This window comes from Homo sapiens, chromosome 1, assembly GCF_000001405.40.
Source record: "Homo sapiens chromosome 1, GRCh38.p14 Primary Assembly".
In the NCBI taxonomy this organism is placed as follows: domain Eukaryota; kingdom Metazoa; phylum Chordata; class Mammalia; order Primates; family Hominidae; genus Homo; species Homo sapiens.
In genome coordinates this window covers 108,425,744-108,443,745 of record NC_000001.11, presented here as the reverse complement: position 1 = coordinate 108,443,745, position 18,002 = coordinate 108,425,744, and the positions used below count along the sequence as shown (strand labels likewise).

Genomic DNA, 18,002 nt, shown 5'->3' with positions numbered 1-18,002 from the left:
ATACAGAATTTTATCAGTTTTTTAAAATATAAAAAGATGTATTAAATCAAGCTATGGCAGTTTTAAAATAATGTTTTAAACTTTTAGCAATTATATTGATATATAACTTACATGCAAAAAACTGCACATAATTAAAGTGTATAATTTAAAAAGTTTGAGCATAGTACACATCTGCAATCAGGATTAGTAAATACAGGCCGGGCATGGTGGCTCATGCCTGTAATCCCAGCACTTTGGGAGGCCAAGGCAGGTGGATTGCTTGAGCTCAGAGTTCAAGACCAGCCTGGGAAACGTAGTGAAACCCTGTGTCTAAAAAATATACAAAAATTAGCCAGGCGTGGCGGCATGTGCTTGTAGTCCCAGCTACTTGGGAGGCTGAGTTGGGAGGATGGCTTGAGCCCAGGAGACAGAGGTTGCAGTGAGCCAAGAGTGTGCCACTGCACTCCAGTCTGGGTGATAGAACCAGACCCTGTGTCAAAAAACAAACAAACAAAAAAGATAGTGGATATATCTACCACTTCCAAAGTGTCCTTGTTTACGTAGTAATTCCTCCCTCACCTTTCTCCCCACACCTCAGACAACCACTGGTTGGCTTTCTGTCATAATAGATTAATTTAAATTTTCTCAAGTTTTCTATAAATAGAATTATATACTATGTACATTATTTTGGTTTCATTTTTTAATTCAGAATAATTATTTTGAGATGTAGCTTTGTTGTCATGTGTATTAATAGATCACTCTGCTATATTGCTAATATTCCATGTGATGGTTATATCACAGTTTATTTTATTTATTCACCTGTTCATAGATTTGGATGGCTCTGGTTTTAAAACTAAAGCTTTTATCAACGAATTTGTATGGACATATCCTTTCCTTTCATTTGAGTGAAATAGCAGTATCATATGATACGTACAGGTTTACTATTTTAAGAAGCTGCCAAACTGTTTTATAACATGCTTGTAAAATTTCACATTCCCATCAACAGTGTATGAGTGTTTTTGTTTCCATATATCTTTGCCAATATGTGGAACGGTGATTCTTTTAACTTCAGTCATTTTACTTGGTATACAGTGGTTTAAATTTGCATTTTCCTAGTGACTAATGATATTGAATATCTTGTCATATTGTTATGTGCCTTCCATATATCTTCCTTGTGGAATATCTCTACAAATCTTTTATTCATTTGAAAATTTGATTGCCTGTTTATTAATAAATTTTGAGAGTTCCCTTAGTGTTGCAGACAGAGGTCCTCTATCGGATACATAATTTCCAAATATTTTCTACCTAAGTGTGGCTTGTCTTTTCATTCTCTTACCAATGTCTTTGAAGAGCAATTTTTTAAAAGTATTATTGAAGCGTAATTTATTGTTTTGTTCTTTTACCAGTTCTTAGGGGAAATGCTTCCAGCTTTTGCCCATTCCGTATGATGTTGGCTGTGGGTTTGTCATAGATAGCACTTATTATTTTGAGGTATGTTCCTTTGGTGTCTAGTTTGTTGGGAGTTTTAACATGAAGGGATGTTGAATTTTATCAAAAGCCTTTTCTGCATCTATTGAGATAATCATGTTGTTTTCAGTTTTAGTTCAATTTACGTGATGAATCACATAACATATGTTGAACCAACCTTGCATCCCAGGAATGAAGCCTACTTCTTCATGGTGCATTGGCTTTTGGTGTGCTGCTGGGTTGGATTTGCTAGTATTTTGTTGAGGAGTTTTGTGTCTCTATGTTCATCAGGCATATTGGCTTGAAGTTTTTTTTTAATGTTGTGTGTCTCTGCCAGGTTTTGGTATCAGAATGAGGCTGGCCTCCTGATAGGAGTTAGGGTAGAGTCCTTCCTCCTCAGTTGTTTGGAATAATTTCAGTAGAATTGTTACCAGCTCTTTATTATATAAGAATTCAGCAATGAATCCACCTGTTCTGGGCCTTTTTCTGGTTGGTTGGTTTTTTATTACCAATTCAATTTAGAACTCCTTATGGTCTGTTCCAGGATTTCAGCTTTTTTCTGGTTCAATCTTGGGAGAATGTACGTTTCCAGGAATTCACCCATTTCTTCCAGTTTTTTTTTTTTTCTGGATTTGTTGAGCTGTTGTATGCATTTTCACATCTCAATTTTATTCAGTTCAGCTCTGATTTTGGTTTTCTTTTCTTCTGCTAGCTTTGGGGTTGGTTTGCTCTTCTTTTTCTAGTTCCCCTTGGTCTAATGTTAGGTTGTTAATTTTTTTCTTTTTTTATTTCAGCACAGAGTTGTTGATTCATAGATTGTTCATTTGAGCTCTTTCTAACTTCTACAAGAATGCCCACTCTTACCATTCCTATGCAACATGGTACTGGAAGTCCTAGCCAGAGCAATCAGGCAAATGAAAGAAATAAAAGGCATTGAAATACAAACAGAGGAAGTCAAACTATGTCTCTTTGCTGATGATTTAATTCTATATCTAGAACACTCCATTTTTTTTGCCCAAGACTATCCTTTCTTCATTGTGTGTTATTGGGAGCATGGTCAAATGTAGCTGACTGAATGTCTTTCCCCAAAGGCTAGAACTGCTAAGCAACTTCAGTAAAGTTTCAGGATATAAAATCAATGTACAAAAGTAGTAGCATTTGTATACATCAGTAACATCCAAGCTGAGAGCCAAATCAGGGATGCAACCCCATTCACAATAGCCACAAAGAGAATAAAATGCCTAGGAATACAGCTAACCAGGGAAGTGAAAGATCTCTACAACAAGGATTCCAAAACACTGTGGAAGGAAATCAGAGACAAGACAAACATATAGAAAAACATACCATGCTCCTAGGCGAATTAATGCAGAAACAGAAAACCAAATACTGCACATTCTTACATGTAAGTAAAAACACCATTTGTGATGGACATTTAAGTTGTTTCCATATCTTGGCTATTGTAAGTAATGCTGCAATGGACATGAGAGTGCAGGTATCTCTAGTAGGTGCTGATCTCATTTCTTTTGGATATATACTCAGAAGAGGGATTGCTGGGTCATATTTTTAACTTTTTGAGAAAACTCCATGCTCTTCTCCATAAGGAATGTACCAGTTTACATTTCCACCAGTGTACAAGTGTTTCCTTTTCTACACACCCTTGCCAACACTTCTCTTTGTCTTTTATACAATTGCCAACCTAACAAGTGTGAGGTGATATCTCACTGTGATTTTGACTGGCATTTCCCTGATGATTAGTGATATTGAGCAACTTTTCATATATGTGCTGGCCATCTGTTTGCTCTCTTTGGAGAAATATCTATTCAGGTCCTTTGTCTATTTTTTATTTATTTGGTGATTGAGTTCTATGAGTTCCTTATATTTTGGATAGAAACTCCTTAACAGATATATGGCTTGCAAATATTTTCTCCAAATCCATAGGCTGCCTTTTCATGTTGTTGATTGTTGCCTTTGCTGTGCAGAAGCTATTTGGTTTGATGTGGTCCTTTTTTTTTTTTTTTTTTTGGCGGAGTTTTGCTCTTGTTGCCCAGGCTGGAGTGCAGTGGTGCAATCTTGGCTCACTGCTACCTCCACTTTCCGGGTTCAAGCGATTCTCCTGCTTCAGCCTCCCGAATAGCTAGGATTACAGGCTCCCACCACCATGCCTGGCTAATTTTTTTGTATTTTCAGTAGAGATGGGCCTTCGTCATATTGGCCAGGCTGGTCTCATCCTCCTGACCTCAGGTGATCCACCCGCCTCGGCCTTCCAAAGTGCTGGGATTACAGGTGTGAGCCACCATGCCCAGCTGGTCCCATTTGTTTGTTATTGCTTTTGGTGTCCTATCCCCCTGCACCCCCAACCCCCACCCCACAAAAGTCATTGCCAAGACCAATGTCAAGGAGCCTTTCCCCTTTGTTTTCTTCTTGGAGTTTTATGATTTTGTCTTACACATAAGTATTTAATCCATTTTGAGTTGATTTTTGTGTATTTTGTATATGAGTCCAATTTCATTCTTTTGCATGTGGATATCCAGTTTTCCCAACACCATTTATTGAAGAGACTATCCTTTCCTCATTGTATGTTATTGGGGGCATGGTCAAAAAGTAGTTGACTGTATGTACTTGGGTTTATTTCTGGGCTATCTATTCTGTTCCTGGTCTATGTGTCTATTTTAATGCCAGTCCCATACAGTTTTGATTACTATAACTTTGTAATATAATTTGAAACTAGCTAGTATGATCCCTTCAACTCTGCTTTTCTTCCTCAGGACTGCTGTGTCTATTCTGGTTTTTTGGCAGATCCATACAAATTTAGAGTTTTTTTTCTATTTCTGTGAAAAATGCTATTGGAATTTTGATAGGGATTGCCTTGAATTTGTAGATCACTTTAGGGCAGTATGAACATTTTAACAATATTTATTCTTCCATACCATAAACATGGGATTCCTTTCCATTTATTTGTACCTTCAATTTCTTTTAACAACATTTTATAATTTTCAGTGTATAGATCTTTGCCTCCTTGGTTAAACTTATTGCTGATTTTATTCTTTTTAATATTATCATAAATAGGATTTAAAATTTTTTATTGAATAGGTCATTATTGGTGTACAGAAATGCAACTGATTTTTATTAGTTGATTTTATATCCTACAACTTTACTGAATTCATTTATTAGTTCTAACAGGGTTTTCTTGCAGAGTCTTTAGAGGTTTCTACATATAGGATCATATTATCTGCAAACAGTGATAATTTCATTTCTTCCTTTCCAATTTGAATCTTTTAATTTCTTTTTCTTTCCTGGTTGCTTTTGCTAGTACTTCCAGTACCATGTTGAATGGAAGTGGTGAGAGTGGGAATCCTTGACTTGGACTGGATCTTACAGGAAAAGCTTTCAGTTTTTCTTGATTGAGTATCATGTTAACTGTGGGCTTCTCATAAGTGGCCTTTATGATGTTGAAGAAATTTTCATCTATGCCTTATTTGTTGAGAGTTTTTCTCATGAAAGGATGTTGAGGTTTGTCATCTGCTTTCTCTGGAGCTACTGAGGTGATCATGTGGTTTTCATCTTTCATTCTGTATCACATTGATTTGCATATACTACACCAAACTTACAGCCCAGGGATAAACTCCACTTGGTTAAGACATATATCCTTTTTGATGTGTTGTTGAATTTGGGTTGGTAGTATTTTACTGAGGAATTTTGCATCTATGTTCATCAGAGATATTAGCCTGTAGTTTTATTTTCTTCTGGTGTCTTTGGCTTTGGTATCAGAGTAATGCTGGCCTCATAAAATGATTTTGGAAGTATTCTCTCTACTTCTATCTTTGAGAAGAGCTTAAGAAGAAATGCATTAATTCTTTTTTTAATTTTTAGTAGAGTTCAACTGTGAAGCCATTTGGTCCTGAGTCCTGGTCCTGGCTTTTGTTTTTTTTGGGAGGTTTATAGTTACTGCTTCAATCTTTTTATTTGTTATTGGTCTGTTCAGGCTTTCTATTATTTTTTGATTGAATCTGGGTAGGTTGTATGTGTCTAGGAATTTATCTATTTTCTCTAGGTTATCCAATTTGTTGCTATATAGTTGCTCATAATAGTTCCTTATGATACTTTTTATTTCTGACACATCTGCTGAAATACCTCCACTTCATTTCTGATGCTATTTATTTCACTCTTCTCTTTTTTTCTTAGTCTAGTTAAAAGTTTGTCAATTTTGTTTATTTTTTCAAAAAATTAACTCAGTTTTGTCAATTTTTCTAGTTTTTCTATTCTTTGGTTGAGTTGCTCCTGCTTTGATTTTTATTATTTCCTTCCTTTTGATAACTTTATTTCATTCTTTTCCTAGTTATTTGAGGTATAATGTTAGGTTACTTATTAGAGACCTTCTTTCTTAATGTGGGTCTCTTCCTTCCTTCCTTCCTTTTTCTCTTTCTTTCTTTCTTTTTTCTCCCTTTCTCTTTCTCTCCCTCCCCTCCCCTCCCCTCCCCTGCCCTCCCTCTCCTCCCCTCCCCTCCCTCCCTCTCTCCCTCCCTCCCTCCCTCCCTTCCTTCCTTCCTTCCTTTCCTTCCTTCCCAGGGTCTCACTCCATTGCACAGGCTGGAGTGCAGTGGCACAATCTTGGCTCACTGCAACTTCTACCTCCTTGGTTCAAGCAATTCTCCTGCCTCAGCCTCCCTGAGTAGCTGGGATTACACGTGCGTGCCACCATGCTGGGCTAATTTTTGTACATTTTGGTAGAGATGGGGTTTCACCATGTTGGTGAGGGTGGTCTTGAACTCCTGACCTCAAGTGATGTGCCTACCTTGGCCTCCCAAAGTGCTGGGATTACATGCATGAGCCACTGTGCCCAGCCAATATAGGCATTTATCATTACAAACTTGCCTCTTAGAGCTGCTTTTGCTGTTTCCGGAGGTTCCATTATGTTTGTTTTCATTCTTGTTTGTCTCAAGATATTTTAAATTTCCCTTTTGATTTGTTCTTTGACCCATCAGCTGTTCAAAAGCATGTTATTTAATTTCCATGTATATGTGAAATTTTCCAGTTTTCCTTCTGTAGATTTTTAGTTTCTTACTATTGTGCTCAGAAAAAATACTTGATGTGATTTCAATCATCATAAATGTGTTCATGATCTACTTTTCATTCATATTTTAATTGATGTATAGTAGTTGTACATCTTTTGGGGGTATGTGTGATAATTTGATAAATGTGTATAATGTGTAATGACCAAATCAGGGTAATTAGGATATCTATCACCTCAAACTTTTATCTTTTCTTTGTGTTACACACACTCCAATTATTATAGCTATTTTTAAAAATATACAACAAATTATTGTTAACAGTAGTCTCCCTGCTACCCTATTGAATACTAGAACTTACTACTTCAACCTAACTGTATTTTTGTACCCATTAACCAACTTCTACCCTCTCCCCACTCTCATTCCCAGCCTCTGGTACACACTAATTTTTATATATGGAGTGACACACGAATCTGATTTTTTACTTATTTTTATACACATATAGATGTCATACCCATTTGTTAAAAGAAAATCCTCTACCATTTGTTGAAAGTATATACATTTTTAAATATTTTTCTTTTTCATGTTTGTCAAATATCTTTTTATCCATATATGCATTGGTTTATTTTTGGACTGTGTATTTTGTTCCTATTTTATCAATCTTTTTTTCTTTTCTTTTCTTTTTTTTTTTTTTTTTTTTTGAGACAGAGCCTCATTCTGTCACTCAGGCTGGAGTGAAGTGGTGTGATCACTTCCTGGGTTCAAGTGATTCTTGTGCCTCAGCCTCCCAAGTAGTTGGAATTACAGGAGTGCATCACCATGCCCGGCTAAGTTTTTGTGCTTTTAGTAGAGACGAGGTTTCACCATGTTGCCCAGGCTGGTCTCGAACTCCTGAGTTCAGGCAATCCACCCACCTCGGCCTCCCAAAGTGCTAGGATTACAGGTGTGAGATCATATCCCAACACCATTCTGTTTTGATTACTATAACTTTATAATAGTTCTTTAAATCAGGTAGAGCTAGTCCTCCAAGTTTGTTCTTCATTTTAGTAGCATTTTGATTATGCTAGTTCATATTAATTTTGGAATCAGCTGATCACTTTCTACCAAAGATGCTCGCTGAGATTTTGAGTGGAATTGCATTGAATTTATAGATCAGATTGGGGAAAAGTAACACCTCAACAATATTAAGTCTCTTGACCCATGAACAAAGAATTTCTCTCTAGTTTTTAGGTATTCATTATGTTCTCTGTGAAACATTTTATAATTTGCAGTCAGATTTATCCCTATGCATTTTATACATTTGACACTATTGTAAGTGGTATTGCTTTTTACATTTCAATTGTGCATTGGAATTACATAAAATAGAATTGATTTTTGTATATTGACGTTGTATCCTGCTAGAAACAAATGCTTTTCAGACTGAAGTTACATTTGGCAGTGACAATATCTTTCGGGGGGGGGTCCTGCGTATTTACCAGGTGAAAAGAATCTTTTTCATTTTACTTGGAGCTTTATCATCAGCCCAAGGAAGAGGAACGTCCCAACCTATATTCAGTTTTCAGGCTGGGCAGAGTGTGTACCTTGTGGACCAATGCATGTGAAATGTTCTGTATGTTCATCAATAGGTTTTCCTTAAGAGTGCTCATGCAGTTGATGAGGCTTCCCATGTGCGTGTCTGTTTATCTGCAATGTTATCCCTTATTTTAAAATTTAGTATTCAATAATGTATCCCAGCATTATGTAGTATCAGAGACTTTGGGATGGTCTTCAATGATATATCTATCAAGTTATCATGAGTTTGTACCTGATCCTGACTAGTCTTATTTCTGATGTGATCTATTATAAAATGAGACCAAAAGCTTTAAAATAACTAATAATGTTGGGCTGAGGGGATTTCTTTGTGGGATACTCAGCCTTAGGAGACAGTAGATCCTATTACACATCTGAAGTAGGAGTCCACTCACTTCAGTATGTGAGCATCAGGACCCTGATTCTGCAGTAGTATCTGCAGTCCCTTGCACTATCAGCTTCATTCCCTCAAGGGAGAATGAATGGCCTTCAGTTTGTTATGTCACAATTGACACGTGTAGCACATTTGAGTATCTCTTTAGTTATTGACCTAGGTTTACATCCAATCATGTTAAGCTTGCTCACCTGGGTGATTCACAAGGTCACATTCCCAGTGGGTCAGTTGACTGTCACAAAAAAACAAAAGCATTCATTTGTCATTATGTAAAACATGGCTCACAAACAGCTTTAAAGGTGGTTTCTCAAATGTTTATCTATAAAGTCTAGTTACTCAAATGAATTTATCTTCTACTCCAGTTTTTTATTTCTCCATGTTCTGCCTCTACGACAGAACCCAAGGGCCAGTATAAACATAGATTTAATTCTGCTGATTTATAACCAATCAACAGTTTCATTATTACATATGATTCTGTACACTGGGTTGTCAGCCTTCTTCCTTCTTTTACCTGTTCCTATTGGATGTTAAGATGATATGGGCTGAAGGTGATGGCTCAAGCTTGTGATTCCAGCATTTTGGGAGGCTGAGGCAGGAGGATCACTGGAGTCTGGGAGTTTGAGATGAGCCTGGACAACACAGTGAGACCTCATCTTCTTTTTTAAAAAAGATGATGTAATGTTATTTGCCACTTTTATTAACATCCCTGGACTACAGTTCTACCATTTCTTTTTTTTTGAAAGCATCTCTTATTATCATAAGATGTACTTAAATCTTCATATTTGTGAGCATCATTAATATTATTAATAGATAAAATCTACAATGGTCAATTCTTTGGTTAGGTCAGAGACTAAAATCTGAAAATTAGAAATTCACTATTTCTTTCAGGCGTGTGTGTGCTGTTGTGCTAATCCCTCACCTCTCTCAGAAAAGTCATTGTAGGCCCAAGCCAATAAGTAAACAGTCTGTGAAAGAATGAATGCAAATCCTAGAATAAGTATGTAGTGCCCACTGAGTGGAGGAAAATTTTGCAAAAGTTGTTTTTCTACAGTTGTGCAACTTTCCTCTGAGCCAGCTCATCTGCTGCTTCAAAGGCCCCAAATAATTTTTTTCATCATCTTATGGCCATTGTCATAAACTCCATTCTGCCCCTGCCTATGTCACCTACCATGCAATCTGTTTCACTGCATGGCCTTAGAGGCAGAGACATTTTTCCAGCTTTAAGTGCATTAAGGTTCTCCTGTTTCTGCAAGACAATGGAAGTTAGTGGTTCTCTCTGTTTTTTGGTATTTAAGTCCATCATCAGGGTCAGTTGGGAAATATGTTTTCTCCAGAAGCTGTTAGGTGCTGTTCAGTGCAATAATTTTTCAGTTCTTACACTATAATTGATCCCATCTATGCATTATAGTTCCTAAAATCACTTTCTGAGAAGGCCCTTGATTACTTTTTTAAAATAGCCCAGCCAGCAGCATTATTATATCTTTCCTAGTTCTTAGAAGGAACATCCTCATGCTCCTTCTGGTGATGTTCCTACTAACAACATGTAATCTGTGAAATGGAACAGAGGGAGGAGACCCATGCCAAGATTCTGTGACACTCAGCTCTGACAGTTGGCAGGCAGACACTCTCTGCAGAAGATTCTCCTGAGGCTGTTTGACCAGAATCCTTGGGAGGTTGAAAGCCCAGTCTTGACAGAACCACCATTCACAAGGCCAGGTGTGTGGCTCACGCTGTAATCCCAGCACTGTGGGAGGCCAAGGAGGGAAGAATGCCTGAGCCCAGGAGGTAAGACCAGCCTGGGGAACGTGGCAAGACATCATCTCGAAAAAAAAGAAAATAGAAAAAGAAAAAAACCCCACCATTTATTATCATCTCCCATTTTATCAGAATAAGCCTGTGGGTGTTGGCTGTCAATTTTCTCACTTACAGGCAACCCAAGCTGACCTGGGCACAGAAATCTTAAGCTCTTTTCAGGAAAGAATGCTCTACTCATCCTCTGTATCACTAGTTACGCAGTGTAACCAGCACAGAGCTTTACTCACAAGGGCTCAGGAAATGCATTTGCTGAGCTCAACAAATTGACAATCCAACTTATTTTGATAAGCAGAGATTTTGTAGTTTAGAGAACTGAATAGGGTAAGCAGAGGAACAAAACAGAATGTTATTTTATTTTGTGTCTAAGAGTACAAAAATCATAATCACCAACCTCTTGGGAATCCCAAGGCAGAATTTTAGTCCCAGACCCCCCAACATCCTCACTACATACATGGAAGTTGCTTTACTCCTTTCTACCTTAGTTATTTGACCTATAATTAGAGGATAAAATACAACATTCTAAAATCCTGGTAATATGGCCGATATATAATTTTATTTTTGATGTGGGTGAGAGTCTTGAAGTCTGGAAAGCATTTAACTTATTAAAAGACAGATCATCACTGATCATTATGGCAAGGACAAATTTAGAAGACTTATTAAACTTACCTCGGCGGGGAGGGGCCAAGACTGCCGACTAGAAGCAGCTCTGGTCTGCAGCTGCCAGCGAGAGGAACGAGGAATGTGGGTGATTTCTGCATTTCCAACTGAGATACCCAGTTCATCTCACTGGGACTGACTAGATGGTCGGCATGACCCACAGAGAGCGAGAAGAAGCAGGGTATTGCTTCACCCAGGAACTGCACAGGGCAGGGGGACCTCCCTCCCCAGCCAAGGGAAGTGGTGAGGGACAGTGCTACCCACCAAGGGTACTAAGCTTTTCCCACAGATTTTTGCAATCCACAGATCAGCAGATCCCCTCGGGAGCCTACAACCACCAGTGCCCTGGGTCTCAAATACAAAACTGGGCAGACCAATGACAGCTGCTCCCGTCGGCGGCTGTTTGGGCAGGCACTGAGCTGCAGGAATTTTTACATACTCCGGCAGCACCTGGAACTCCAGTGAGGCAGGAGAAATGTCCACTTCTGTGGAAAGGGGGCTGTAGCCAGGGAGCCAAGTGGTCTCGCTCAGAGGGTCCCACTCCCACGGAAACCCCGCAAGCTAAGAACCACTGGCTTGAAATCCCCGCTGCCGGCACAGCAGTCTGGAGTCCGCCTGGGACAACTCAGTTCCCAGGGGGAGGGGCGACCGTCATTACTGAGGCTTTAGTTGGAGGTTTTCCCCTGACAGTGCTAAGGAGACTAGGAGGTTTGGACTGGGTGGAATTCCCCACAACGCAGCAAAGTGGCTGTTGCAGATCGTGGCCAGACTGCTTCCTAGGTGGGACCCGAAGCCATCCCTCCTCACCTGGAGGGCATCCCTGCAGGAATTCCAGTAGCTACAGTCAGGGGCTTACAGACAAGAACTCTAATCTCCCTGGGACAGAGCACCTCGGGGGAGCGGCGGCCATGGTCCGAGGTTCAGCAGACTTAATCTTTCCTGCCTGCTGGCTCTGAAGAGACCAGCTGATCCCAAGGAGGGTTATTCCTCCAATACAGTGCACCAGCTCTGCTAAGGGACAGTCAGTCTGCCTCCGTAAGGAGGTCCCCCTTCCAGTCCCGTGCTTCTTGACTGGGTGAGACTTCCCATCAGGGGTCGCCAGACACCTCATGCAGGAGAGTTCCGGCTGACATCAATCAGGTTGATGCCACTGTGGGAAGAAGCTTCTGGAGGAAGGAGCAAGCAGCAATCTTTGCTGTTCTGCAAACTCCACTGGTGATACCCAGGCGAACAGGGTCTGGAGTGGACCCCCAGCAAGCCGCAGCAGACCTGCAGAAGAGAGGCCTGACTGTTAGAAGAAAAACCAACAGAAAGTAACAACAACAACAACATCAACACAAAAGACCCCACAAAAACCACATCCAAAGGTCAACAGCTTCAAAGATCACAGGTAGACAAAACCATGAAGATGAGGAAAAACCAATGCGAAAACACTGAAAATTTCAAAAGCCAGAATGCCTCTTTTGTTCCAAACGATCTCAACACTTCTCCAGTAAGGGCACAGAACAGGGCTGAAGCTGAGACTGATGAACTGACAGAAGCAGGTTTCTGAAAGTGGGTAATAATGAATTTCACTGAGCCAAAGGATTATGTTCTAACCCAACGCAAGAAGCTAAGAACCATGATAAAAGATTACAGGAGGTATTAGCTAAAATAACCAGTTTAGAAAGGAACATAAATGACCTGATGAAGCTGAAAAACACAGCACAAGAACTTTATGATGCAAACACAAGCATCTGTAGCCAAAACAACCAAGTGGAAGAGAAGATATCAGACCTTGAAGACTATCTTGCTGAAATAAGGCAGGCAGACAAAATTAGAGAAAAAAGAACGAAAAGGAACAAACAAAACCTATGAGAACTATGGGAGTATGTAAAAAGATGGAACCTATGACTGATTGGAGTACCTGAAAGAGTTGGGGAGAATGGAACCGAGTTGGAAAACGCACTTCAGTATATCATCCAGGAGAACTTCCCCAACCTAACAAGACAAGCCAATATTCAAATCAGGGAAATCCAGAGAACCCCAGTAAGATACTCCACAAAAAGATCTACCCCAAGGCACATAATCATCAGGTTCTCCAAGGTTGAAATGAAGGAAAAAATGTTAACGGCAGCCAGAAAGAAAGGCCAGGTCACGTACAAAGGGAAGCCCATCAGACTAACAGCGGACCTCTCAGCAGAAACTCTACCAGCCAGACAAGATTGGGGTCCAATATTCAAGATTCTTAAAGAAAAGAAATGCCAACCCAGAATTTCATATCAGACCAAACAAATCTTCATAAGCAAAGGAGAAATAAAATCTTTTTCAGACAAGAAAATGCTGAGGGATTTCATCACCACCAGGCCTGCCTTGCAAGAGCTCCTGAAGGAAGTACTAAACATGGATAGCAAAATCACACACAAAAACACACTGAAGTACACAGATCAGTGACATTATGAAACAACTACATTAACAAGTCTGCAAAATTAACCAGCCAGTATCATGATGACAGGTTCAAATTCACACATAACAATATTAACCTTAAGTGTAAATGAGCTAAATGCCCCCAATTAAAAGACACAGAATGGCAAGTTGGATACAAAGACAAGACTCATCGGTATGCTGTATTCAAGAGACATATCTCATGTGCAAAGATGAACACAGACTCAAAGTTAAGGGATGGAGGAAAATTTACCAAGCAAATGGAAAGCAGAAAAAAAAAAACAGGGGTTGCAATCCTAGTTTCTGACAGAAAAAACTTTAAACCAACAAAGGTCAAAAAAGACAAAGAAGGGCATTACATAATGGTAAATGGATCTATTCAACAGGAAGAGCTAACTATCCTAAATATACATGCACCCAATACAGGAGCACCCAGATTCATAAAACAAGTTCTTAAAGACCTACAAAGAGACTTAGACCCCCACACAATAATAGTGGGAAACTTTAATACCCCACTGTCAATATTACACAGATCATTGAGACAGAACATTTACAAATATATTCAAGACTTGAACTCAGCTCTAGACCAAGTGGACCTGATAGATATCTACAGAACTCTCCACCCAAAACAACAGAATATACATTTTTTTTGGTGTCACATGGCACTTAATCGAAAATTGATCACATAATTGGAAGTAAAACACTCCTCATCAAATGCAAAAAGAACTGAAATAATAACAAACAGTCTCTAAGACCACAGTGCAATCAAATTAGAACTCAAGATTAAGAAGCCCACTCAAAACCACACGACTACATGGAAATTGAACAACATGCTCCTGAATGACTCCTGGGTATATAATGAAATTAAGCCAGAAATCAGGAAGTTCTTTGAAACCAATGGGAACAAAGAGACAACGTACCAGAATCTCTGGGGTGCAGCAAAAGCAGTGTTAAGAGAGACATTTATAGCACTAAATGCCCACATCAAAAAGCTAGAAAGATCTCAAATTGACAGCCTAACAGTACAACTAAAAGAACTAGAGAACCAAGAGCAAACAAACCGCAGAGCTAGCAGAAGACAAGAAATAATGAAGCTCGGATCTAATTAAACTAAAGAGCTTCTGCACAGCAAAAGAAACTACTGTCAGAGTGAACAGGCAACCTCCAAAATGGGAGAAAATTTTTGCAACCTACTCATCTGACAAAGGGCTAATATCCAGAATCCACAATGAACTCAAACAAATTTACAAGAAAAAAACAAACAACACTGTCAAAAAGTGGGCGAAGGACATGAACAGACACTTCTCAAAAGAAGACATTTATGCAGCCAAAAAACACATGAAAAAATGCTCACCATCACTGGCCATCAGAGAAGTTCAATCAAAACCACAATGAGATACCATCTCACACCAGTTAGAATGGCAATCATTAAAAAGTCAGGAAACAACAGGTGTTGGAGAGGATGTGGAGAAATAGGAACACTTTTACACTGTTGGTGGGACTGTAAACTAGTTCAACCCTTGTGGAAGTCAGTGTGGCGATTCCTCAGGGATCTAGAACTAGAAATACCATTTGACCCAGCCATGCCATTACTGGGTATATACCCAAAGGACTATAAATCATGCTGCTATAAAGACGCTTGCACACATATGTTTACTGCGGCACTATTCACAATAGCAAAGACTTGGAACCAACCCAAATGTCCAACAATGATAGACTGGATTAAGAAAATGTGGCAGATATACACCATGGAATACTATGCAGCCATAAAAAAGGATGAGTTCATGTCCTTTGTAGGGACATGGATGAAATTGGAAATCATCATTCTCAGTAAACTATCACAAGAACAAAAAACCAAACATTGCATATTCTCACTCATAGGTGGGAATTGAACAATTAGAACACATGGACACAGGAAGGGGAACATCACACTCTGGGGACTGTTGTGGGGTGGGGGAAGGGGGGAGGGATAGTTTTAGCAGATATACCTAATGCTAAATGACGAGTTAATGGGTGCAGCACACCAGCATGGCACATGTATACATATGTAACTAACCTGCACATTGTGCACATGTACCCTCAAACTTAAAGTATAATAATAATTTAAAAAAAAAAGAAAAGAAATAATGAAGCTCAAAGTGAAACTGAAGGAGATAGAAACATGAAAAACCCTTCAAAAAATCAACAAATCTAGGAGCTGGTTTTTTGGAAAAAAAAAAAAAAAGGCAATAAAATAGACCACTAGCAAGACTAATAAAGATGAAAAGAGAGAAAATTCAAATAAACACAATCAGAAATGATATGGGGGATTCATGTACCTCAGCCTCCCAAGTAGCTGTGACTACAGGCATGCACTACCATGCCTGGCTGATTTTTTACCTTGTTGACCAGACTGGTCTTGAACTCCTGACCTCAAGTGATCTGCCTGCCCAGCCTCCCAAATTGCTGGGACTACATGTGTGAGCCACCATACCTGGCCTGTTTCATTAGTTTCTACTCCTATCTTTACTATTTCATCCTCCTTTCTTTCTGTTTATTTTCCTGTTTAGTTTCCTGGGTTTGAAGTTTAGGTCATGGGTTGGCAAACTTTGGCCTGAGGGCCAAATCTGACCTGCCACCTATTTCTGTAAATTGAATTTAATTGTAACACAGCCACTTCCATTTGTTTTTGTATTGTCTATGGCTACAAGGGCAGAGTTGAGTAACTGCGAGAGATCACATGGCCTGCGGAGCCTAAAATATTTATTATCTGGACAGTAACAGAAAAAGGTTGCCAATCCCTGTCTTAAATAATTGACTTTTTTTTTCTTTTCTAGTATATTAATTTAAAGTTTTAATTTCCCTCTAAGTTCTGCTTTCCCTACACTCAATAAATTTTGATATGTAATGTTTTCATTATTGTTTATTTCAAAATGTCCAGTTTCCATTGTGATTTCTTCTTCACCCATCAGTTATGTAGAAATATATTGCTGAATTTACAAACATTTGGGGATTTTTCCAATTACCTTCCTGACGGTGAACTCCTGTTTTAATTGCACTGCCATCAGAATGTGCTTTGTATGATTTCTGTTCTTTCAAATAAATGGATTTTGAAGTTGTATTTTGTGTTCTATATATGTGTTCTATAAGATCAATTAGTTAAATGTGTTATTCAAATGTTTTAGATTCCTATTAATTTTTTTGTCTGCTTGTCTTACTGGCTACTGAAAAAGGTATGTTTAAATCTCTAACCATGATTGTGGATTTCCCTATTACTCCTCTACGTTTGCCACTTTAGCATTATGTATTTTGAAGCTATATTATTATGTGCACATAAATTTAGGATTGACCCTTTTATTATTATAAGATGTCCTTCCTTATTGCTAGTAATAAGGAAGAAAGTCACTGCTTCAAGTTATGGGAGAACAAACAATGGGAGAGCAAACAATGCAAGAAAAACAAAGAGAGAGAAGAAAAGTACATTGACATAAGAACTTCATTCACCCTGTTTTTTTTTCTTAGATATTTAACAAATTTCAGCTTAGGTGAATAGGGTCCAAGTTACAGGACAGATGGTAAATATTTTAGAAAGAAAACAAAGATGTTATTAAACTGAGGAGACAGCAAATTTCATAGCCTCTCCTATGAAGTATTTTTGCCCAGATTTTTTTACTAGAATCTGACCATGTCTTTAGAACTGTAGAAAATACAGGTGATGGAGGAACAAGTTAAACAATACCATTAAGAAACAATCAAACAAATCATGATTGTGGAATATTCTACAAGACAGTTGAGCTGGGTTCTTCAAAAAGTCATTGTTGTGGAAAAAACAGTGTTGGTGGTGGACTGTTACTAGTCTTGATTAAGAGAATAAACATAGTAAGGGCAATGGGTAAATTTATTTGGATATTAGTTTGAAAAAATCTGTAAATGGCATTTTGGGGACAATTGGGAAAATTTGAATATAGAATAAGTATTGATGGTATAGAGGTTATTTGTTTGTTTGTTTATTTATTTATTTATTTATTTTTAAAGAGACAGGGCTTTGCTATGTTGCCCAGGCTGGCTTCAAACTCCGGAGCTCAAGTGATCCTCCTGCCTTAGCATCTCAAGTAATAGAGAATTATTTTTAAATTTCTAAAATATAATTATGGCATTGTGGTTATGTAAGCTAATCTCCTTGTTTTTAGGATATGTCCAAGTACTTTATGGTTAAGTGTCATCATATCTGTAACTTACTTTCAAATGGCTCAGATAGACACACACACATTTATATATATGTTTAAGTAGAATGGAGAGAGACAAAATGTAATTATGGCAAAATGTTAAATTTTATAGGTGGTGAATATATAAATGTTCATTGTGCCATCCTTTTTAGAGTTTACAGTTTTCATAATAAGTTGGGAGAAAATCAATGGGCAAAGTAAGTTCAACATTAGAAAAAAGTAAGAAAGTTTCCAATTTAATTACAAAACTATAAAAACTGGAGGGGATGTTACTAGTTTCTGATTAAAAAGCAAAAAGACGCATATAGCAATAGAACATTTTCCAAGAAATTCCGTGGCAAGTAAATATTTTCTAAATTTTCAAGGGATCTTCTCTACATTTTAAAGGAGTTATTTAATTTCTTGTAGGGGTGGGTGGGAGGGGGGAACAGAATGTTTAGACTAAAACAGTGAAAGACTTACTTTTCAATTGCCTATTGATTTCAC

At 38.3% G+C, this 18,002-nt stretch overlaps 1 protein-coding gene across 6 annotated transcripts in view, besides 1 other annotated feature; it reads right to left on the bottom strand.

Annotated features, from left to right (window-relative positions):
• Positions 1-18,002, bottom strand: part of NBPF6 (NBPF member 6) — a 50,430-nt gene that overhangs the window by 28,175 nt on the left and 4,253 nt on the right. Inside the window, exons 2-4 of one of the 6 annotated variants that reach the window (XM_011542012.3) lie at positions 10,897-12,156; positions 8,927-9,071; positions 8,607-8,647 (exon numbers count right to left, since the gene is read on the bottom strand). The gene's annotated coding sequence lies outside the window, so the exon portion shown is untranslated. Of the gene's footprint in view, positions 1-8,606; positions 8,648-8,926; positions 12,157-18,002 lie in introns of all 6 variants that reach the window. The other 5 variants (XM_017002148.2, XM_047428683.1, XM_047428685.1 and 2 more) reach the window with 5 other exon arrangements.
• Positions 11,412-11,964: an enhancer, noted in NCBI's record as "H3K27ac-H3K4me1 hESC enhancer chr1:108974404-108974956 (GRCh37/hg19 assembly coordinates)". NCBI's record gives its function as "activates a minimal SCP1, AML or CMV promoter by ChIP-STARR-seq in primed H9 embryonic stem cells {active_cell/tissue: H9 hESC(primed)}" and the evidence as "EXISTENCE:reporter gene assay evidence [ECO:0000049][PMID:30033119]".